The sequence below is a fragment of the Homo sapiens genome, chromosome 19 (genome assembly GCF_000001405.40).
Source record: "Homo sapiens chromosome 19, GRCh38.p14 Primary Assembly".
NCBI lineage: Eukaryota > Metazoa > Chordata > Mammalia > Primates > Hominidae > Homo > Homo sapiens.
Window position 1 is genome coordinate 6606951 of NC_000019.10, and position 24201 is coordinate 6631151.

Sequence of the window (24201 nt, forward strand, 5' to 3'; positions counted from 1 at the left end):
TAATTTTTTTTTTTTCATTTTCAACAAGTGTTTTGTCACCAAACATTAAAAACCTACACAAAATACAGGCCAGGTACAGTGGCTCACGCCTGTAATCCCAGAACTTTGGGAGTCCGAGGCGGGCAGATCACCTGAGGTCAGGAGTTCGAGACCAGCCTGGCCAACATGGTGAAACTCCCTCTCTACTAAAAATTCAAAAATTAGCCAGGCGTGGTCATGTGCAATTGCAGTCCCAGCTACTCAGGAGGCTGAGGCTTGAGAATTGCTTGGACCTGGGAGGCGGAGGTTGCAATGAGCTGAGATCATGCCACTGCACTCCAGCCTGGGTGACGAGAGCCAGACTTCATCTCAAAAAACAAAAATATATACAGAATACAAAGATAGTATAATAGACTTGTCACCCAGGTTGAACAGCTACTAGTCATGCCATGTTTGCTTCATCTATACTTTGACCCATTTCCTACCCCCCAATTTATTAGTTTTTTGGGTTTTCTTTTTAGATAAAATGTATACATATTGAAAGGTACAATCTGAACTGTACCATTTTGACAAATTAATACACTCATATAGACTTCCCCCCTTTAAAGAATAGAATTACTCCACTTACTAATCATTAATGTACATATAAGTTACGTCGAAGTAGTATTTACAATCCAAATTTTTATAAAATAGGTCAGAGTTTTGACTGAGAATTTTTTTTTTTTTTTGAGACCGAGTCTTGCCCTGTTGCCCAGGCTGGAGTGCAGTGGTGCAATCTTGGCTCACCGCAACCTCTGCCTCCCAGGTTCAAGCGATTCTCCTGCCTCAGCCTCCCGAGTAGCTGGGATTACAGGCTTGCGCCACCTCGCCTGTCTAATTTTTTGTGTTTTTAGTAGAGATGGGGTTTTGCCATCTTTGCCAGGTTGGTCTTGAACTCCTGACCTTCTGATCCACCCACCTCAGCCTCCCAAACTGCTGGGATTACACGCGTGAGCCACCGCGCCTGGCCGAGAATTTTTATTTTTAAAAAAGTAGAGATCTGTAGAGCACACAGTAACTACAATGTCTATTTATCTCAAGTAAATACAGTTTGATGAATAAAATTAAGGAAAATTCACCTAAGATGAAAAAAAAACAATCAAACCATCTGTGCAATATGCTATCTGTAGGAGCATTTGGTTAAGAATAACAAACTAACCCAACAATTTTATTATTTTAATAACCAAAATTGGCACAAATTTCTACTATTGTTTTCATAGAAATGCTCCCTCACAATAAAAAAATTTTCATATCATGAGAGCAAAAACAGCAAATATTTGAAAAAGTAGATGTCTTATAAAATTAAGTAGCAAAGGCCAGGCGCAGTGGCTCATGCCAGTAATCCCAGCACTTCGGGAGGCCGAGGCGGGAGGATCACCTGAGGTCAGGGGTTCGAGACTAGCCTGGCCAACATGGTGAAACCATATCTCTACTAAAAATTCCAAAATTAGCCAGACGTGGTGGCGGGCAGGAGAATCGCTTGAATCTGGGAGACAGAGGTTGCAGTGAGCCGAGATCTTGCCACTGTACTCTAGTTTGGGTGACAAGAGCAAAACTCCATCTCAAAAAAAAAAAAGAAAAATCACAGTTACCTATAATTCGATCATTCAATCAATCATCAGATAACTCAGCTCATTCAATTATCTGCAAGTGTAGATAATTCTCATAGCTTCCTATTAAAATTATGTTTTATGCCCTTACAAATTTTAACTTAGTTTTTCTTTTATTTATTTATTAGTAGGAGTCTCACTCTGTCGCCCAGGCTGGAGTGCAGTGGCACAATCTTGGCTCTCTGCAACCTCCACCTCCTGGGTTCATGCAATTCTCCTGCCTCAGCCTCCTGAGTAGCTGACATTACAGGCATGAGGCACCACACCCAGCTAATCCCACAGTGCAGGGATTAGAGGCATAAGCCACCTCCCCCTCCTACTTTTTCTTCTTACTTGGTCCGAGGGCTGTGGGACGGGGCCCCACCCCAGCCCATCACCAGAGACTTTTGGTCTTGGCCATGTGTCCTAAGACTTAATAGTTCTTGCACATTCTCTTGGTAATCAATTCAATTTGTTTCTTCCAAATCTTGCAGTAAAACTGATGTTCCAGCCAGGCGCTGTGGCTCATGCCTAGACGGTTTTCATCTTGACATGACCCTTGTGCTAGGAGTGTAAAGTAGAAAACCACAGATGGATACACATCATTGCCAGTCCCTTTTCACTAACCAAAGCGTGTCAGTGACCCTGCTTAACTTTAGTGGGTGCAGGGAAGTGGCATGCTTGCAAGAGTCAGAAAGAAAGCTGAAAATACTAGGTGGAGAACACGAATCGCTATCAAAACCCACCCATTTGATCACAGAAACTCAGCTCATGCTCCTTCCTGCTTGCAAAATACAGTCACCCCTCCAAGAGAGAACTCCATAGTCCCACCTGTAATGGCATCAAGCCTCTTTTTCTTTCCATGTGGTCTGTGATCATTCAGTAGCCTAGCCAAGCTTTTTTTTTTTTTTAAAATTACTGAACATATATTTCTGAGTTCCTGCTGTTTCCAAGGTATTAATACAATAGTGCAGAAATCAAAGTTCCTACCCTCTTGGAGATTGCATTTGATGAGTTCCCATTTGTGTCAGGCCAACTTTCTTGCATTCTGTTTTTATTTTAAAAATAAATATGGTCTCAAAAAACAAACAAAAACAACAGCAACAAAATGGTCTCAGTTAATATTCCAACAGCCCTGGGAGATAAGTAGTATTATCTTGAGATGCCTTTTGTGAATTTTCAGCAACAACTAGAATTTTAAAAACAATCCATAGATATTTCCATAACGTACGTATATGAAAGGACACAGTGAACAATGATAAGAAAACTTAGGTTTTAAAAAGGTTAAGTACCTTATTAAAGGTAAAAGCTGGCCAGGCGTGGTAGCTCACGCCTGTAATCCCAAAACTTTGGGAGGCTGAGGCAGGCTGATCACTTGAGGTCAGGAGTTCGAGACAAGCCTGGCCAACATGGTGAAACCCTATCTCTACTAAAAATACAAAAATTAGCCAGGCATGGGGGCGGGTGCCTGTAATCCCAGCTACTTGGGAGGCCAAGACATGAGAATCACTTGAAACCAGGAGGCGGAGGTTGCAGTGAGCTGAGATCGTGCCACTGCACTCCAGCCTAGGTGACAGAGTGAGACTCTGTCTCAAAAAGAAAAATAAATAAATAAATAAAAATAAATAAATAAAGCAAAGCCAAAATTCAAAACTCAAACTTTATTTTGACTCCAGAGTTCCTTTTATACAATACCTTTTCCTCTGAAGTCATGCCCCAGCTGATATCACAGTCAAAATACATTTTAAAGGATGAGTGGGACAGAGGTGTAATGGGGAAAAGGTACTAGTCAAAACTTTTTAAAAAATAGGCTTTTATGGGTGTGGTGGCTCATGCCTGTAATCCCAGCAACTTGGGAGGCTGAGGCAGGAGAATTGCTTGAACCTGGGAGGTGGAGGTTGCGGTAAGCCAAGATCGCTCCATTGCACTCCAGCCTAGGCAACAAGAGTGAAGCTCCGTCTCAAAAAAAAAAAAAAAAAAAAAAAGTCTTTTTAGAGCAGTTTTAGTTTCGCAGCAAAATTGAGCAGAAAATACAAAAAGTTCCCACACACCCCTAGAGCCCCCTGCTCCACAAACAATCCCATTGTTAACATCCCACCGCACCCGGCCGGCTCTGTGTATTTGTCTTCACTTTTTTCCCCTGCTTCTTGGATTTGCTAACTTTATGGTTGCCTTATCTTCAAGTTTGTTGATCTTTTTTCTACCTACTCAAATCTGTTCTTGAATTCGTCTAATGAATTATCACCTCCATTATTGTAACTTTCAGCTCCAGAATTCCTGTTTGTGAATTTTTAATAATTTATTTCTTTCTATTGACATTCTCACTTCTTTCATATATCATTCTCATGATCTGCTTTAGTTCTTTGTCCATATTTTCCTTCATCTCACTGAACACATTGGAGACAGTTGATTTAATGTCTTTGACTAATAGTTTCAATGTGTGGGCTTCCCTAGTAACAGTATATGTTAAATCATGGTTTATTGTAAATGAGTTATACTTTCCTATGTCTTTATGCTTTGTAATTACAACTGGACATCCTGAGTATTATGATTCATAAGTCTGGAACTCCGATGCTCCAAGTCTTCATGGATTGCTGATTTCTGCTTACTGAAGGCTGAAACTATTCATTTCTGACTTTTCCCGACTGTTTTTTGGCAACTGTGTATCCTTTGGGTGTGATCACTGAAGTGTCTTTTCCATTTTGTGGTCAGTTAGTAACATGACAAAGATTTTACAAGGCATCGAACCTCTAAGTCTGAGGGATACGAAGGGACTCAAGAGAGCCAAAACAAGCATCTTATTGGCTTCTCAGGAATTGCCAGACCTAGTAGAGTGCAAATTCCCCAAATTTTGGAGGCCAAGGTCTCAACTGCCTGCTCTGGCACTGGTCACCTGTTTGAGGAAAATGGACTGTCTCCAAATTGCCCCACTCGGACGGAGGAATGGGGAGTGGGGGCTGGTTTGTGAAGGCTGTTCTCTTTCTAAAGTCTCAGTCTCTCTTTTCATCAAGCACTCCTCTCATTATTATAAGTGCTGCAACAGGATGACTAGTTCTGAAATCATTGATTCTGTGTCTCCTGCCCCTCAGTTCACTGTTTATTTCACTGGAGGGAGGGGCTCCCAGAGCTTTCTACTCCGTCTTTTTGCTTGATCTCACTGTTTGCTGACTTTCTGAGATATGCCCAAACTCATATGGCTATTGGAAATTTCCACATTAAAAGTACTTCACCACATTGGGCAACATGGTGAAATCCTGTCTCTACAAAAAAGAAAAATACAAAAATTCCTTGGGTGAGGTGGCACACTCCCGTAGTCCCAGCTACTTGAGAGGCTGAGGTGGGAGAATCGCTTGAGACCGGGAGGCAGAGGTTGCAGTGAGCCGAGATCGCACTACTGCACTCCAGCCTGGGTGACAGAGTGAGGCTCTGTCTCAAAAAAAAAAAAAAAAAAAAAGGTACTTGACATGATAGTTTCCAATAAAAACATTTTAACCTAATTCCTTCATTTCACTCTTTAGCAATCAATATGTGAAAATTATATTGAACTGGTAAAAATGCAGGTTACAAAGATAAGATAAATATGAAATGCTATGATACACTTCTGACCACTGGAAGACATAAGAGAGAGTTGCAATGATTATATTTAATATTTTGGTTAGTAAACAGAGAGAACGCATCTACCCAGGGATTCAGTAGGGGTATGTGAAGATTTAATAAGGTAAGTAATCCTTAGTTTTTGAGAAACCAGAGATAGAAAATATGTTGGTGATTTTTTTTTTTTTTTGAGATGGAGTCTGGCTCTTTTCGCCCAAGCTGGACTGCAGTGGTGTGCTCTCAGCTCACTGTAACCTCTGCCTCCCGGGTTCATGCCATTCTCCTGCCTCAGCCTCCTGAGTAGCTGGGATTATGGGTGTGTACCACCACACCTGGCTAATTTTTTTTCTTTTTTGAGACGGAGTCTTGCTCTCTTGCCCAGGCTGGAGTGCAGTGGCGTGATCTCGGCTCACTGCAAGCTCCGTCTCCCAGGTTCATGCCATTCTCCTGCCTCAGCTTCCCGAGTAGCTGGGACTACAGGTGTCTGCCACCACGCCCGGCTAATTTTTTGTATTTTTAGTAGAGACGGGGTTTCACCGTGTTAGCCAGGATGGTCTCGATCTCCTGACCTCGTGATCCGCCCGCCTTGGCCTCCCAAAGTGCTGGGATTACAGGTGTGAGCCACCGCGCCCGGTCAATTTTTTTTTTTTAACTTTAAGTTCCGGGATACATGTGCAGAACATGCAGGTTTGTTACATAAGTATATGTGTGCCATGGCGGTTTGCTGCACCTGCTGACCCGTCCTCTAAGTTGCCTCCTCTCACTTCTCACCCCCCAACAGGCCCGATGTGTGACGTTCCCCTCCCTGTGTCCATGTGTTCTCATTGTTCAGCTCCCACTTATGAGTGAGAACATGCGGTGTTTGGTTTTCTGTTCCTGTGTTAGTTTGCTGAGGGTGATGGTTTCCAGCTTCATCCATGTCCCTGCAAAGGACACGATCTCTTTCCTTTTTATGACTGCGTAGTATTCCATGGTGTATAGGTACCACATTTTCTTTATCCAGTCTATCATCGATGGACATTTGGGTTGGTGCCATGACTTTGCTATTGTAAATAGTGCTGCAATAAACATATGGTGCGTGTGTCTTTATAGTAGAATAATTTATGTTCTCTTTTTTTTTTTTTTTTTGAGATGAAGTCTCAGTTTGTCACCCAGGCTGGAGTGCAGTGGCATAATCTTGGCCCACTGCAACCTCCAACTCCCGGGTTCAAGCAATTCTCCTGCCTCATCCTTCCGGGTAGCTGGGATTGCAGGTGCCCACCACCATGCCTGGCTAATTTTTGTATTTTTAGTAGAGATGATATTTCGCCACGTTGGACCAGGCTGGTCTCGAACTCCTGGCCTCAGGTGATCTGCTCACCTTGGCCTCTCAAAATGCTGGGATTACAGGCGTGAGCCGCCACACCCGGCCAGGATTGTTATTACTACTTTTAACCCATTTCCCATTTGCCCCGAGAATACTCTTGTCTCTAATCCCAATGTAACATCATATACATTTCTGCTACATTAGGATTAGAGACAAATTCTGTTCAGAAATAACTCCAAGAACAGTTTTTATATTTTATTTGCACATTGAAACTCAACCAGATTTGCTTCAGCCTCAACAAGTGTGTTTATGTAAAGTTAAATGAACTCTGGCAGTGAGCTGCACGTTTTTTAAAATTAGGAAATGAGTTAGCTAATATTGAACTTGAGGTTTTAGTCAATGCAATGAGACAAAAAGATTGAATAGGAAGAAATGAGTCATTATTTAGAGATTACTTCATTATGTATGTAGAAAATTCTAGGCCAGTCATTGTGGCTCACGCCTGTAACCCCAGCACTTTAGGAGGCCGAGGTGGGTGGATCATGAGGCCAGGAGATCGAGACTATCCTGGCTAACACGGTGAAACCCTGTCTCTACTAAAAATACAAAGAACTAGCCGCCTGTAGTCTCAGCTACTTGGGAGGCTGAGGCAGGAGAATGGCGTGAACCCAGGAGGTGGAGCTTACAGTGAGCCGAGATCACACCACTGCACTCCAGCCTGGGTGACAGAGTGAGACTCTGTCTCAAAAAAAAAAAAAAAAGAAAATTCTAAATAATCTACACATAGTTTTATTTTTACTTTTGAGATGGACTCACTGTGTCGCCCAGGCTGGAGTGCAGTGGTGCAATCTCGGCTCACTGCAACCTCTGCCTCCCAGGTTCAAGCAATTCTCCTCCCTCAACCTCCCAAGTAGCTGGGACAACAGGTGCTCACCACCACACCCAGCTAATTTTTTCTGTAGTTTTAGTAGAGATGTGGTTTTATCGTGTAGGCCAGGGTGGTCTCAAACTTCTGGTCTCAGGTGATCCACCCATCTCAGCCTTCCAAAGTACTTGGATTACAGGTGTGGGCCACCACGCCCAACCTACACATAGTTTTTTTTTTTTTTTTTTTTTTTTGAGACAGAGTTTTGCTCTGTTGCCCAGGCTGGAGTACAGTGGTATATCTTGGCTCACCACGACCTTCTCTTCCCGGGTTCAAGCAATTCTGTTGCCTCAGCCTCCTGAGTAGCTGGGATTACAGGCATGCACTACCACACCCGGCTAATTTTTGTATTCTTAGTAGAGATGAGGTTTCACCATGTTGCCCAGGCTGGTCTCAAACTCCTGACCTCAGGGGATCCGCCCACCTCAGCCTCCCAAAGTGCTGGGATTACAGGCATAAGCCACTGCGCCCGGCCTACACATAGTTTTAATATATTGATTTAGCAACAACACCGGAGGCAAAGCCAAAGTACAAAAATAAATCATATTTTTATATACCACTGTCAACTAGAAAAGACATGTAAAACTATGTCATTTACAAACTCAACAAAAATATATCAAATACCTGGGACTACATCTAATGGAAGCACTATATAAATTCTACACCAAAAACCATAAAATGTTACTGAGAAAATTAAAGAAAGCTTAAATAAATAGAAGGATATACCATGGCCAAGAGGTTGGAACATTTAATACCATGAAGACACCAATTCTACACCAATATCTATTGATCTATAGATTCAATGCAATCCCAGTCAATACCTCAGCAGGAAGTATACGTGTGTGTGTGTGTATGTGTGTGCGCGTGAGAGAGAGAGAGGAGAGAGAGAGAGAGAGACTGATTCTAATAAAAACACAGGGAAATGCAAAGAACTAAGAAAGACAAGATGATCTGTAAAAAGAACAGAATGGAGAGACTCTACTATATATTGAGTCTTATTAAAAGGCTACAGCAAGTTAAACAGTGTGGTATTAGTGCCATCAGGGACTACAATCCAGTGGGATTATAAAAATAATTGCTTGGCCGGGTGCAGTGGCTCATGCCTGTAATCCCAGCACTTTGGGAGGCTGAGGCGGGCGGATCACGAGGTCAGGAGATCGAGACCATCCTGGCTAACACGGTGAAACCCCGTCTCTACTAAAAATACAAAAAATTAGCCGGGCATGGTGGCGGGCGCCTGTAGTCCCAGCTACTTGGGAGGCTGAGGCAGGAGAATGGCATGAACCTGGGAGACGGAGCTTGCAGTGAGCCGAGATCATGCCACTGCACTCCAGCCTGGGCGACAGAGCAAGACTCCTTCTCAAAAAAAAAAAAAAAAAAAAAAAAAAAAATTAGCTGGGCGTGGTGGTGTGCACCTGTAATCCCAGCTACTCAGGAGGCTGAGGCAGGAGAATCACTTCAACCTGGGAGGCAGAGGTTACAGTGAGCTGAGATCGTGCCACTGTACTCCAGCCTGGGCAACAGAGCGAGACTCTGTCACAAAAAAAAAAAAATTCTGTAAGGCAAAAAGAAAAAGACAACCTACTTTTAAAAGATATAAAAGATGTGAAGCAACACTTCACATAAAATAATATACAAGTGGACAATACTAGAGAGCATATTTAGCTACATTACTCCAAAAAAAAGTAAAACCACGTGGAATCCCCCTTATTCAACAGTGGAAATTGGCAAGACTGGGCATGACTCTGAGAGTGAGTCAACAATGTGGCAGGATATGTTTCGAACCTTTATCCTTTCACAGAAACATTCATTTCAATAATCTTCTGTGCAGAAAAATACTTTCACAAGAGTCAAAGAATCAGCTGAGAGACCACAGAACTTGAATGGAAAATAACGGTAAGAAAAGATAGGCCGAGCATGGTGGCTCACGCCTGTAATTCCAGCACTTTTGGAGGCCGAGGTGGGTGGATCACCTGAGGTCAGGAGTTCCAACCAGCCTGATGAACATGGAGAAACCCCATCTCTACTAAAAATACAAAAAAAAAATTAGCCAGACGTGGTGGACGCACCTGTAATCCCAGGTACTCAGGAGGCTGGGGCAGAAGAATGTCTTGAACCGGGAGGCAGAGGTTGCGGTGAGCCGAGATCGCGCCATTGCACTCCAACCTGGGCGACAGAGCGAGACTCCATCTCAAAAAAAAAAAAAAAAAAAAAAAGGCAAAAAGAAAGAAAAACAAGAAAAAGAAAAGAAAAGATGTACTGAAGATGGTAGGAAAGAGTTTCACTTGATCTGCATCATCCCCTTCCTGAACCCAAGGCAGCACAGAGAGAGAAACCCACTTCATGGGGGATGGAGAGTAAAGTGAGTTCCTGGCTGCACTGCAGACCTGAGCCCGAGTTCCACTTTAGCGAACACGGATACAGGCTGTCCAGAGAAAAGCAAGTGGAAACTACAGAAACTGTTGTAGAACTTTTACTTGCTGGTCTGGTCTTGGTTGTATCCATCTTTGGCCAGTCACATATGTACTCAAGAAACCTTCCCAATAGAGTACAACAGGATGAGACTCTGAAATCCCTTTCAATATTCCCTGCTAGATATTGATTGTTATATCAAGCATTAAGTGTAAACTTTTAATGGACAATTAGTGTAACTGTGGATGGCATCTGCTTTTGTTTTTAATTCTGTGGATTGTGTTTAAGCAATTCAATAGTATGTTCCTGATTTTGAGATGCTAAGTGGTATTGCACAGATGTCATTTTATCCAGCATGTGCAACAGTCCCATGAAGTTTATAGAGCATACCCTTGTATAGCTTCAGGTGCTAGAATTAAAATTGATCTGTTATCACACACACACACACACACACACACACACACACGCAATCATTCATGTGGACTCAAACTCCAGTTCCATCCCAGGGGATCCAGGCACCAGGTCAGCCCCTGTGGAACCAGGTGCCAAGCCTCCTCTCTTGCTGAAATAGGCACCAGGCAATCCCTCTCAAGGACTCCAGCGAGAAGTCCACCAGCAACTCCCCACCAAACAGGCTGCCTAGAATCTCTAGATAGGCTGACTGGCAAAGTGCTTTTCCTGCTAAAGCCAGTATGTAAAGAACTGACTACTTCAAATGCACAGACACTAATGCAAGGCCATAAGGATCATGAATAATCAGAGAAACATGACATCACCAAAAGAACAAAATAAAGTATGAGAAACTGACACAAAAGAAGTGGACATCAACGAACTCCAGATGAAAAATTCAAAATAATCATCTTAAAGAAGCTCAGTGAATTATAAGAGAACACAGAGAGACAACTGAATGGGAAACAAAACATAATGAAATGACAAATTCAACAAAGAGATAGAACCTATATTTAAAAAAGGACTAAAAAGAAATTCTGGAGCTGAAGAAAACAAGGACTGAACTGAAAGTCTCCATGAAGAGCTTCAACAGCAGATGTGATCAAGAAGAAGAAAGAATCAGTGAGCTCAAAGGCAGGACATTTGAAATTATCCATTCAAAGGAGCAAACATAAAAAAGAATAAATAATACTGAAAAAGCTCAATAGGCTTATGAGATACCATTAAGTGAACCAATATATGCATTATGTAAGTGCTCCAAAAGGAGCAGGAAAGGTGAAAAGGAGAGAAAACATATTTACAAAAACAATGATAGAAAAATTTTGAGGCCAGCCGTCGTGGCTCATGCCTGTAATTCTAGCACTTTGCAGGGCTGAGGCAGGTGGGTCACTTGAGGTCAGGAGTGTGAGACCAGCCTGGCCAACATGGTGAAACCCTGTCTCTACTAAAAATACAGAAATGAGCTGGAGGGGTGGTGCACACCAATAGTCCCAGGTACTTGGGAGACTGAGGCATAAGAATCACTTGAACTTGGGACGTGGAGGTTGCAGTGAGCCAAGATTGTTCCACTGCACTCCAGCCTGAGCAACAGAATGAAACTCTATCTCAAACAAAAACAAAAACAAACCCCCCAAAATTTCCAAATCTGGAAAAGGAAAAATGAATATGAAGATCCATGAAGCCCCAAAAACCCCAAATAGGGTTAAGGTATAGAGAACGTCACTGAGACACATTGTAATAAAATTCTCAAAAATCAGAGATAAAAAGAATTTGAAAGCAGCAAGAGAAAAGCAACTCATCATATACAACAGAACCTCTATTCAAGTATTAGAGATTCCTCAGCAGAAACATTCCAGGCCAGGAGAAAGTGGGATGATGTATTCCAAGTGCCAAAAGAGAACAAAAACAACTGTCAATCAAGAGTACTATAACAGCAAAGCTATCCTTTAGAAATAAAAATAAGTAAATAAAAACTTTCCCTGATAAACAAAAACTGAGGGAGTTCCTCACCACTTGACCTGCATGACAAGAAATGCTAAAGGAAATTCTTCAGTTTGAAACAAAAGAATGCCAAATAAAAATATGAAAACAGGCCAAGTGTGGTGGCTCACGCCTGTAATCCCAGCACTTTGGGAGGCCGAGGGCGGATCACCTGAGGTCGGGAGTTCGAGACCAGCCTGACCAACATGGAGAAACTCCGTCTCTACTAAAAATACAAAATTAGCCAGGTGTGGTGGCACATGTCTGTAATCCCAGCTACCCGGGAGGCTGAGGCAGGAGAATTGCTTGAACCTGGGAGGCAGAGGTTGTGGTGAGCCGAGATCGTGCCATTGCACTCCAGCCTGGGTAACAAGAGTGAAACTCCATCTCATTAAAAAAAAAAAAAAAAAAGTAAAAGTATAAAACTCACTGTAAAGGTAAATATAGAGTCAAATTCAGAATGCTTTAATACTGTAATGGTGTGTACAGATCATTTTAAACCGTAGAATAAAAAGCAAAAATATTTTAAAACTATACAGTAATGTTAATGGATACAAAATATTAAAATATATAAAATGTAACATTAATAACATATAAGAGGGAAGTACAAGTGTAGAGTTTTTTATGTGATCAAAATTAAGTTGCTAGCAACTTAAGATGAACTGTTATAACTATAAGATGCTTATGTAAACCTCATGGTAACCACAGAGAAAAAACCTGCAGTAGATACACAAAAGAGAGACAGAAAGAATCAAAGCTTATCACTACCCCAAATCATCAAATCACAAAAGACATTAAGAGAGGAAGAAAGAAATGAAGGAACTACAAAAACAGTCAGAAAAAGATATGGAAAACAGAAATAGTAATTACCTATCAATAATTATTTCAAATGTATGTGGATTAAATTCTCCAACCAAAATATGTAAAGTGGCTGAATGGATTAAAAAAACAAGAGCCATCTATATGCTGCTTACAAGAGACTAATTTTACTTTTAAGGACATATATGGGCTGAAAGTAAAAGGATGGAAAAAGATATACCATGCAAATGGTAGCCAAAAGAGAGAAGGGGTAACTGTATTTATATCAGACAAGATTAGCTTTTAGTAAAAAACTGTCACAAGAGACAAAGGAGGTCATTATATAGTAATAAAGAGGTCAATTCGTAAAGATGATCTGCCAATTATAAATATATTTGCATCCAACATTGGAGTTTCTATTATATAAGCAAATATTAACAGATGGGAAGAGAGAGATAGATAGCAATACATACTAATAGAGGAATTTGATACCCCACTCTCTATGATAGATAGAACATCCAGACAGAAAATGAATAAGGAAACAGTAGACTTGAATAACACTGCAGACCAAAGGACCTTGCAGACATATATAGAACATTTCATCAAACAGCAGCAGAATACACATTTTTCCTCCAAATACACATGGAACATTCTCTAGGACAGATCAAGTGTTAGGTCACAAAATAGGTCTTAACAAGTTTAAGAAGACTGAAATCATATCAAGTATGTTTTCTCACCACAATGATACGAAACTAGAAATCAAAATAGGAAGAAAATTAGAAAATGCACTAATATATGAAAATTAAACAACACATTCCTGAACAATAAATGAGTCAAAGAAGAAATAAAAAGAGAAATAAAAGAGTAGCTTGACAATACAAAAATGGAGAAAGACTGTATCAAAATTTATGGGAGGTAGCAACAGCAGTTTTAAGAGTGAAGTTTATAGCAATAAATGCCTACATTAAGAAAAGAGAGGCCAGGCACGGGTGGCTCACGCCTGTAATCCCAGCACTTTGGGAGGCCTAGGTGGGTGGATCATGAGGTCAGGAGTTTGAGACCGGCCTGGCCAATATGGTGAAACCCTGTCTCTAATAAAATACAAAAATTATCCGGGGGTAATGGCATGCACCTGTAGTCCCAGCTACTTGGGAGGCTGAGGCAGAAGAATTGCTTGAACCCAGGAGGCGGAGGTTGCAGTGAGCTGAGATCATGCCACTGCACTCCAGCCTGGGCGACAGAGTGAGACTCCATCTCACAAAAAAAAAAAAAAAAAAGAGAGAGAGAGAAAGAGAGAGAAAAGAAAGATCTCAAATAAACAACCTAAGTTTATACTTCAAGGAAATAGACAAATTAAGCAAAAGTTAGTAGAGGAAGAAAATAACGGAGCAATAAATAAATAAAATCGAGACTACAAACGCAATAGAAAAGATCAATGAAACTAAGAGCTGGTTTTATAAAAAGATAAACAAAATTGACAAAACTTTAGCTAGACTAAGAAAAAAGAGAGGAGACTCAAAATCAGAAATGAGAGGACACATTACAACTGATACTACTGAAATACAAAGGATTATAAGAGACTATTATGCACAGTTATACACCAACAGATTGGGTAGCCTAGAAGAAATGATAAATTCCTAGAAACACAAACCTACCAAGTCTGAATCATGAAGAAATTAAAAAAGATCTGAACAGACCAATAATAAATTAGGAGATGGAATCAGTAATCAAAAGTGCTCCAACAAAGACAAGTCTGTGGCCAGGTGGCTTCACTGGTGAATTTCACTAACCTTTAAAAGAAAAATTAACACTAATCTTCTCAAACTATTCAAAAAATTGAAGAGGTGGGAATATTATCAAACTAATTTTACAAGGATAGTATTACTCTGATACCAAAGCCAGAAAAAGCACTAGAAGAAAAGAAAATTACAGGCTAATATCCCTTAGAAACACAAATGCAAAATTCTCAACAAAGTACTAGCAAACCTAATTCAACAGCACATTAAGAGGCTCATTCACCATGATCAAGTGGGATTTATCCCTAGGATGCAGGGATGGTTCCAAATACAGAGATTAATAAATATAATACACCATATTAACAGAATGAAGGATAAAAATTATATTATCATCTCACTAGATGCAGAAAATCATTTGACACAATTCAACATCCTTTCACGATAAAAGCTAGCAACAAAGTAGGTATAGAAGGAAGGTATCTTAACATAATAAAGGCCATATATGATAAGCCCACAGCCAACATCATACTCAGTGGTGGACAAGTGAGTCCACTCTCACCACTTCTATTCAAAATAGTACTGAAAGTTTTAGGCAGAGCATTTGGGTAAGGGAAAGAAAGAAAAGAAATTTAAATTGGAAAGGAAGAGGTAAAATTACCTCTGTTTGTAGATGTCATAATCTTATGTATAGAATTTTTTTTTTTTTAGATGGAGTTTCGCTCTTGTTGCCCAGGCTGGAGTGCAATGGCATTATCTTGGCTCACTGCAACCTCCACCTCCTTGGTTCAAGTGATTCTCCTGCCTCAGTCTCCCGAGTAGCTGAGATTACAGGCATGCGCCACCACGCCGACTAATTTTGTATGTTTAGTAGAGACCGGGTTTCTCCACATTGGTCAGGGTGGTCTTGAACTCCTGACCTCAATGATCCGCCTGTTTCGGTCTCCCAAAGTGCTGGGATTACAGATGTGAGCCATTGCACCCAGCCTAGAGAATCTTACAGATGCCACAAACAAATCTCTTAGAATTAATAAACAAATTCAATTGCAAGATTCAACATCAATGTAGACAATTCAGTGTGTTTCTACACACTGACAACAATCTATCTGAAAAAATAATCAATAAAGCAATCCCATTTAAAATAGAATAAAAAATGCTCAGGAATTAATTTATCCAAGGAAGTAAAAGATCCGTTTACAAAAAAAAAATTGATCAAAGAAATTGTAGAAGACACAAATGAATGAAAAGATATCCCATGTTCATGGATTGAAGGAATTAATATTGTTAAAATGTCCATGCTACACAAAGTGATCCACAGATTCTATGCAAATCCCTATCAAAATTTCAGGGGTATTTTTCATAGAAATAGAAACAAAATTCTAAAATTTAACCACAAAAGACTTTGAATAATAAACACAATTCAGCAAGAAAAACAAAGCTGAAGGCATCAGTTCTGGATTTCAAACTATATTACAAATCTATAGTAATCAAGACAGTATGTTACTGGAATGACAGCAGACACACAGACCAATGGAACAGAATAAAAAGTCCAGAAGTAAACTCACACATGTACAGTCAATGAATTTCAGACAAAAGTGCTGAGAACACACAATGGGAAAAGGAGAGCTCTTTGATAAATGATGCTGGGAAAAATAGATATCCACATGCAGAAGAATGAAATTAGACCCTCATCTTGTTACTGAAACACCAGGGATATGGTCTAGGTCTGCTGCTTGCCACACAGAAAGCCAATGGCTGAGGTGATGAGTATTGCCAGGGAAGAAGGCTTTAATTGGGTGCTGCAGCTGAGGAGGTGGGAGATCAGTCTTGAATCCATCCCCTTGACTGACTAAAATTAGGGGTTTATGTAGCTGGGAAGAAATGTAATGATGTGTGGGAAAATGGGAACTTGGGAGGCATAAGGAAGTAATCGTGATGAATGAGGGGTCTGGATGTGATGATCTGGTGAGTTTCAGTTCTTTGATATTTTTTGAGATGCCTGGGTTGGGGTGGGGAGGTTCCTTCTTGAAGAAGAAGAAATTCAGATAAAACAAACATAAGTTTCAAGGTTTAAGACTGGAAGTGTCCATTTCTATTTATCAAAAACAAAACAGTCTATGGGACTATTGGGTCAGTTTCAGTCCCCTCTATTTATCAATTTTTTTAATCATGGGGAATCTGACCATTGATCTTTCTGGCTGCTTCATGCTGAGGAGGTGACCATGTGGCCACCTTCTGAAACACAATCATTCTCTGTCCAGCCACCACTGCCCCCACCAAAGACAAGTCAAAGCAGGATGAACCTACCTGCAAAATAAGCTTCAGTCCATGGCTGGGCATGGTGGCTTCTGCCTGTAATCCCAGCAGTTTGGGAGGCCAAGGCAGGTGGATCACTTGAGGCCAGGAGTTGGAGACCCAGGAGATGGAGGTTGCAGTGAGCCAGTCTGGGTGACAGAGTGAGACTCTGTCTAAAAAATAAAAAATAAAAAAGCTTTGGTCCCATATACTTGGCCTGATTACCCCCAAAAAGTGCAGCAAAAATCATTGTCCACATAGATCCTTCTAAATTGGCCTTGCTGGAACCTCACACTGTTCCATTATAAAAGAAAATAGGTTCTTACTCAAATTATGCCAAGAAACACATTGACATATCAGAATTTTAGGAATCTCATACAATCCTAGAACATATATTAACAACTCATCTATATAAATATAACCCTAAGGGCCAGGCGTGGTGGCTCACGCCTGTAATCCCAGCACTCTGGGAGGCCGAGGCAGGCGGATCACGAGGTCAGGAGTTTGAGACCAGCCTGGCCAGTATGGTGAAACCCTGTCTCTACTAAAAATACAAAAATTAGCCGGGCATGGTGGCACGTGCCTGTAATCTCAGCTACTTGGGAGGGTGAGGCAGAAGAATTGCTTGAACCTGGGAGGCAGAGGTTGCAGTGAGCCAAGATTGAGCCACTGTACTCCAGTCTGGGCGACAGAGTGAGACTCCATCTCAAAAATAAAATATAACCCGAAGGAAGCTAAACACCACCTTGGATCTGACAATGTTTCCTGCATGATTCTAAAATAACAAATTAACCTAAGATATCTCTCTTGGACTTGAGGGAACCTAATATCCAAAAAAGTTAGTTTGAGGTCAAAAAGACTGAATTTAGACCTTTAAATTGTGCTCCTAGAAATTTTGCCAATTACAAAAATTTTAAAACACTTGATATCACAAAACATGATCACAGGTCACAATAAAATAGTCATTTATGGCCGGGTGCAGTGGCTCACACCTGTAATCCCAGCACTTTGGGAGGCCAAGGCAGGCAGATCATCTGAGGTCAGGTGTTCAAGACCAGCCTGGCCAACATTGTAAAACCGCGTCTCTACTAAAAATACAAAAATTAGCCAGGTGTGGTGGCACGTGCCTGTTAATCCCAGCTACTTGAGAGGCTGAGGCAGGAGAACTGCTTGAACCTGGAGGCAGAGGTTGCAGTGAGCTGAGATTGGGCCACTGCACTCCAGCCTGGGCGACAAGAATGAAATTCTGTCCCAAAAAAAAAAAAAAAGAAAAAAAGGAAAACACAAGTCATTTATTTAGCCAAAATGATAAAACAAAAATATTTACCTTTTAATAGGAGATACAGTTTCTCAAACAATAAGACAGCATGAGACCAAACAAATCTGTCCCTCTCCAATCCATTTTTTCCCTCCAGTTTACTTAAACAAAACTATTTTCTCTCTTATTAATATTATACAAATTTTGTTCAAAAGAGAAAACCCAAATTTTACCTTTATATGGTGTATTTATTAATGTTAAAGATAATTTTAATAAAACTTTATCAATAAATCTATCTAATTTTCATTGGTTTGACCATAGGGTAAGATTTTGATAAACTTTTTATAAGCTTTCATGATTTTCTATTAAAAAGAACAGATCAATGCTCCACAAAAACCCTTACTCCTGACACATGGGCTCAGACCCTCACCTTGCATCAGTGTGCTTTTGATATTAACGTTTAATTTATAAGAAAAACTCTGAACTAATTTTATCCCTCAAAATTGGCCCTTATAATCTCACACACCCACCTCATCCGTGATAGTTCCTGGGCCTAGAGGGATTGAATAGTTTTGGTTTTTTTTCTTTTTTTTTTTTTGAGACAGAGTCTCGCTCTGTTGCCAGGCTAGAATGCAGTGGCACAATATTGGCTCATTGCAACCTCTGCCTCCCCAGTTCAAGCGATTCTCCTACCTCAGCCTCCTGAATAGCTGGGACTACAGGCACCCGCCACCACTCCTGGCTAATTTTTGTATTTTTAGTAGAGACGAGATTTAACCATGTTGGCCAGGATGGTCTCGATCTCTTGCCCTCGTGATCCACCCACCTCAGCCTCCCAAAGTGCTGGGATTACGGGTGTGAGCCACCGCACCTGGCTGAATAGTTTTAATTTCTAGCCCTGTGTCTCATGAAAACAGTTCATTTTGATTGTCATTTTTCCCTGGATCTGAAGACAAGACTTCCACTGGTTTTGATGTTCAAGACTTAGCAGGGGTCAGTGCCTTTTTCAGACCCAGGAGTCAAAGTTGTGAAACTTAACAGCACAAGGATTAGTTAATAGGGTATTTATACTACCAAAAGGCCTGTCATTCTAACATGCCACACATTGAAACGCTGTGATTTGGTGTCTAGGAGTTACTGCTTGCAGCACTTCAAACCACTGTATTAAAGTAATCAGGTTACTCATTGCATATGTCCAATTGCTAGCATTCTAGTGACAGAACTGTGACCAAAAGCATAAAAAATGTGGTAGGTGCTAAGTCAAACTTATCAAAGTAAGACAACTACCTTTTTCCCCATCATTAAAAAAAAAAATAGTAAATGCAGGCCACGCATGGTGGCTCATGCCTGTATTCCCAGCACTTTGGGAGGCTGAGGCAGGCAGATCACTTGAAGTCAGGAGTTCGAGACCAGCCTGGACAACATGGTGCAACCCCATCTGTACTAAAAATACAAAAATTAGCTGGGTATGGTGGCATGTGCCTGTAATTCCAGTTACTCGGGAGACTGAGGCATAAGAATTGCTTGAATCCAGGAGGTGGAGGTTGCAGTGAGCCAAGGTGGTGACAGTGCACTCCAGCCTGGGTGACAGAAACTCTGTCTCAAACAAACAAACAAACAAACAAAACAAACAAAAAATACCCCAAAACAAACCCACGTGATGAATATTTTGTTTCTGACACACAATTTAATGTCTTTAAGTCCACCAATACCACTGTATGTTTTGTGCAATTAAGAAATTCACTTTAGGCTCATGATCAGTAAGTACTTTAGTGCTAGTGCTATCTATGCAGAAGAACAAATACAGTGAGAAGCAAAGCAAGTCTTTACAGAAAATTTGGCTTCACAGAAAATCTGGATTCATACTTAACTATATGAAAAACGGATTGCCAAATTGCCAATGTATTTCTTTACAATATTTCTTAATTTTCCTTCATCAAGACTAAGAGCTTTAACTATGAACAACATTAATTAGCCAAACTTCTCCAATTTTCTATCAGGTTTTAAAGGATATTCTACATCTAAATATTTTAAACTTTGTTTTCTCTGTGTATGCATAAAGGCAGACATACAGAGAGAGAGGAAAAAAACTACATATGACATACACAGACCATCTATGACATGCTTGAACCTTCAGTTTGTTCTAAATTTATTTTCTTATTCCCTCCCTTCCTTCCTTCCTTCCCCCTTCCTTTCTTCCTTCCTTCCTTCTTTCCCCTGCCTCCCTCCTTCCTTTCTTTCTTTCTCTTTCTTTTCTTTTTTCTCTTTCTTTCTCTCTTTTCTTTCTTCCTTTCCTCTTTCTTTTTTCTTTCTCTCTCTGTCTCCCCCTCCCTTGCATCCCCTCCCATTGTCTTCTTTCCTTCTTTCCTTCCTTCCTTCCTTTCTTCCTTCCTTCCCAGTCATTTTACTTTAAGACAAAAATTCACCATACAAGATCCTTTCTCATATAAAATTATTCCTTTTTTTTTTTTTTCTTGAGACGGAGTCTCTCTCTGTCGCCCAGGCTGGAGTGCAGTGGTGTGATCTTGGCTCACTTCAAGTTCCACCTCCTGGGTTCATGCCATTCTCCTACCTCAGCCTCCCAAGTAGCTGGGACTACAATCGCCCACCACCATGCCCGGCTAATTTTTTTGTGTGTTTTTAGTAGAGATAGGGTTTCGCTGTGTTAGCCAGGATGGTCTTGATCTCCTGACCTCGTGATCCGCCCATCTTGGCCTCCCAAAGTGCTGGGATTACAGGCGTGAGCCACCGCACCCGACAAAATTATTCTTTCTTTATAACCTTCCTTACCAAAAATACATCTTCATATCCATAATTTTCTTCACATCTCACTCCTTTACTTATTGGTTCCTTTCTTTTCAAGTCCATAATTTGAATTAACCTTTAGATAACTTCTGAATTTGATAATAATTTTTTTCTCAATAAGAACATCTCTTCTTTGGCATATTTTATATGCAGAATTATATATTAACTAGAATTCTTATCCTTAGTAACCTCAAATTTTAGTGAAAACCTAGGAAGAAAGAAATCCTGAGCTACCTATCAGATATTAGCATTTTATAATGAGAACTCTTCCATAATTTTTAGAAACATATTTCCCCATATCATAACCCTTCCTTAATTAGAAATGACCCAGACATCTAATAAGCATAATTTTAAATATTATTCTTAAACATAATTTTAAGATTTTAAGTTACACAATAAGTTCACCTGCAGCACTTAACCCATTTACACTTTATTTTTAGCAGTTTATATAGATTATTTACACATTATTTTCTTGTTAACCCTTTTATAACTTGTGAATATCAGATGTTCACCTAAATAAGAACCTTAAAGTTAACTGCATGGGCATTTTCACCAATAACTCAGTAGACTCAGGTGTTTTCATTAAACCAATAACATTAAATAGTCTTACTTATATAAAAAAAAACACAAAAAGATCATTTTGTTTTGGCTGGGTTTATGGTTTGATAACCTTCTATGCCAAACCCTGATACCTCAAAATATCTAGAAGAGACAAATATGAAACCCAGAGAAAAATGTATGCTGACAATTCTGAAGACATTTCTATTCCTATTTTACCAATAATTTAAAAACCACCTTGTTGGCCAGGTACAGTGGCTCATGCCTGTAATCCCAGCACTTTGGGAGGCTGAGGCAGGTGGATCACTTGAGGTCAAGAGCTCAAGATCAGCCTGACCAACATGGAGAAACTCCATCTCTACTAAAAAAAAATACATAAATTAGCCAGGCATAATTGCACACAACTGCAGTCCCAGCCACTCAGGAGGCTGAGACTTGAGAATCGCTTGAACCCAGGAGGTGGAGGTGGCAGTGAGTGGAGATCATGCCACTGCACTCCAGCCTGGGCGACAGAATGAGACTCTATTTCAAAAAAAAAAAAAAAAAAAGCTTGCTCATTAAAGACTTACTTAAGTCATATAAACTTGAAAAATACTTTGGACTTAATTAATGAGCACTCTTTTATTTATAAGCCAAATTGGTAGGCATAACATATAACAATAAATATACATACATATACACACATCTAAATATGTACTCACACACAGAAACAAAGATCCAATAGCTTTTACTTTGGAATTCTAGTTGGGAGGCTGAGGCAGGCAGATCACCTGAGGTCAAGAGTTTGAGACCAGCCTGGCCAACACGGTGAAACTCCATCTCTACTAAAAATACAAAAATTAGCCAGGTGTGGTGTCAGGCGCCTGTAGTCCCAGCCACTTGGGAGGCTGAGGCAGGAGAATTGCTTGAACCTGGGAGGTGGAGATCGCAGTGAGCCAAGATTATGCCACTGCACTCCAGGCTGGGCGACAGAGCAAGACTCCATCTCAAAAAAAAAAAAAAAAAAGGAATTCTAGTCATGAGATAGTAATACAAACTCACCTATCTATGAACGTGTTCACATGGCTGCATTTTGTCTGCTCTGATAGGTAATCCCATGAAGACTGTTGTATTCGTCTGTCCTCACACGGCTATAAAGATATTGCCTGAGACTGTGTAATTTACAAAGAAAGGGGGTTTAATTGACTCACAGTTCCACATGGCTGGGAGGCCTCAGGAAACTTACAATCATGGTGGAAGGCGAATGGGAAGCCAGGCATGTCTTACATGGCAGCAGGAGAAGAAACAGAGACAGAGAGAGAGACAGAGAGACAGGGGGAACTGCCACTTTTAAAACCATCAGATCCTGTCATGAGAACAGCATGGGGGCAACTGCCCCCATGATCCAATCACCTCCCTCTAGGTCCCTCCCTTGACATGGGGGGATTACAATTCGAGATGAGATTATGGTGGGGACACAGAGCCAAAACATATCAGCTGTGAGCCAAAATTTCGGGTAAAGTAGTTTCCACGGCAGTTTGATTTTTTTTTTTTTTAAGACGGGAGTCTCGCACTGTCGCCCAGGCTGGAGTTCAGTGGCGCGATCTCGGCTCACTGAGAGCTCCGCCTCCTGGGTTCACACCATTCTCCTGCCTCAGCCTCCCGAGTAGCTGGGACTACAGGCGCCCACCACCACGCCAGGCCAATTTTTTGTATTTTTAGTAGAGATGGGGTTTCACCATGTTAGCCAGGATGGTCTCGATCTCCTGACCTCGTGATCCGCCCACCTCAGCCTCCCAAAGTGCTGGGATTGCAGGCGTGAGCCACTGCGCCCGGCCCGGCAGTTTGATTTTTAGAAGTCAAACCTTTAAACATTGGGGTCAAACAGAAGAACATCACGTATTAACCAGGCTGAACCCTGCTTAGAACAGCAGCCCAGGCTGGGCGCAGTGGCTCACGCCTGTAATCCCAGCACTCTGGGAGGCCGAGGCGGGCCGAACACGAAGTCAGGAGATTGAGACTATCCTGGCTAACATGGTGAAACCCCATCTCTACTAAAAAAATACAAAATAATTAGCCAGGTGTGTTGGCGAACGCCTGTAATCCCAGCTACTCAGGAGGCTAAGGCAGGAGAATGGCATGAACCTGGGAGGTGGAGCTTGAGGTGAGCCGAGATCGCACCACTGCACTCCAGCCTGGGCGACAGAGCAAGACTCCGTCTCAAAAACAAACAAACAAACAAACAAACAAACAAAACAAAACAAAACAAAACATAACAAAAAAGAACAGCAGCCTAAAAGCCTGGGTACATGGAACTCCATCCCACATGATCCGCCTGCCTTGGTCTCCCAAAGTGCTGGGATTACAGGTGTGAGCCCCCACACCCAGCCTTGGTGATGATTTTTTGGATTTGACACCAAAAGCACAGAGAACAAAAGCAAAAATAAGTGGAATTGCAACAGACTAAAGAGCTTCTGCCAAGCAAAGGAAGCAATCAAGGAAATTAAAAGGCAACGTATGGATGGAGAGAAAATATTTGTAAGCCATATATCTGATAAGGGGTTGAGATCTCTAAAATATATAAAGAGCTCATATAACTCAACAGCAACATAACAAATAGCTCAATTTAAAAATGGGCGAATGATCTTAATAGGCATTCCTCAAAAGAAGACACACGAATGGCTAACAGGTGTGTGAAAACATGCCCAACGTCATTAATCATCAGGGAAATGCAAATTAAAACCACAGCGAGATATGACTGTGGTGATAATTTTAGCATATAGGTGTATCAAAGCATCACATTTCCTTCCTTCTTTCTTTCTTTCTTTCTTTCTTTCTTTCTTTCTTTCTTTCTTTCTTTCTTTCTTTCTTTCTTTCTTTCTTTCTTTTTCTTTCCTTTTTTTGAGACGGAGTCTCGCTCTGTTGCCCAGGCTGGAGTGCAGTGGCACGATCTCGGCTCGCTGCAACCTCTGCCTCCTGGGTTCACGCCATTCTCCTGCCTC

The 24201-nt window shown here is 40.9% G+C and overlaps 2 annotated features.

The window, feature by feature from the left end:
* Window positions 2058–2167: an enhancer, noted in NCBI's record as "active region_13851". NCBI's record gives its function as "activates an Ori minimal core promoter by ATAC-STARR-seq in GM12878 lymphoblastoid cells {active_cell/tissue: GM12878}" and the evidence as "EXISTENCE:reporter gene assay evidence [ECO:0000049][PMID:35858748]".
* Window positions 9028–9247: an enhancer, noted in NCBI's record as "active region_13852". NCBI's record gives its function as "activates an Ori minimal core promoter by ATAC-STARR-seq in GM12878 lymphoblastoid cells {active_cell/tissue: GM12878}" and the evidence as "EXISTENCE:reporter gene assay evidence [ECO:0000049][PMID:35858748]".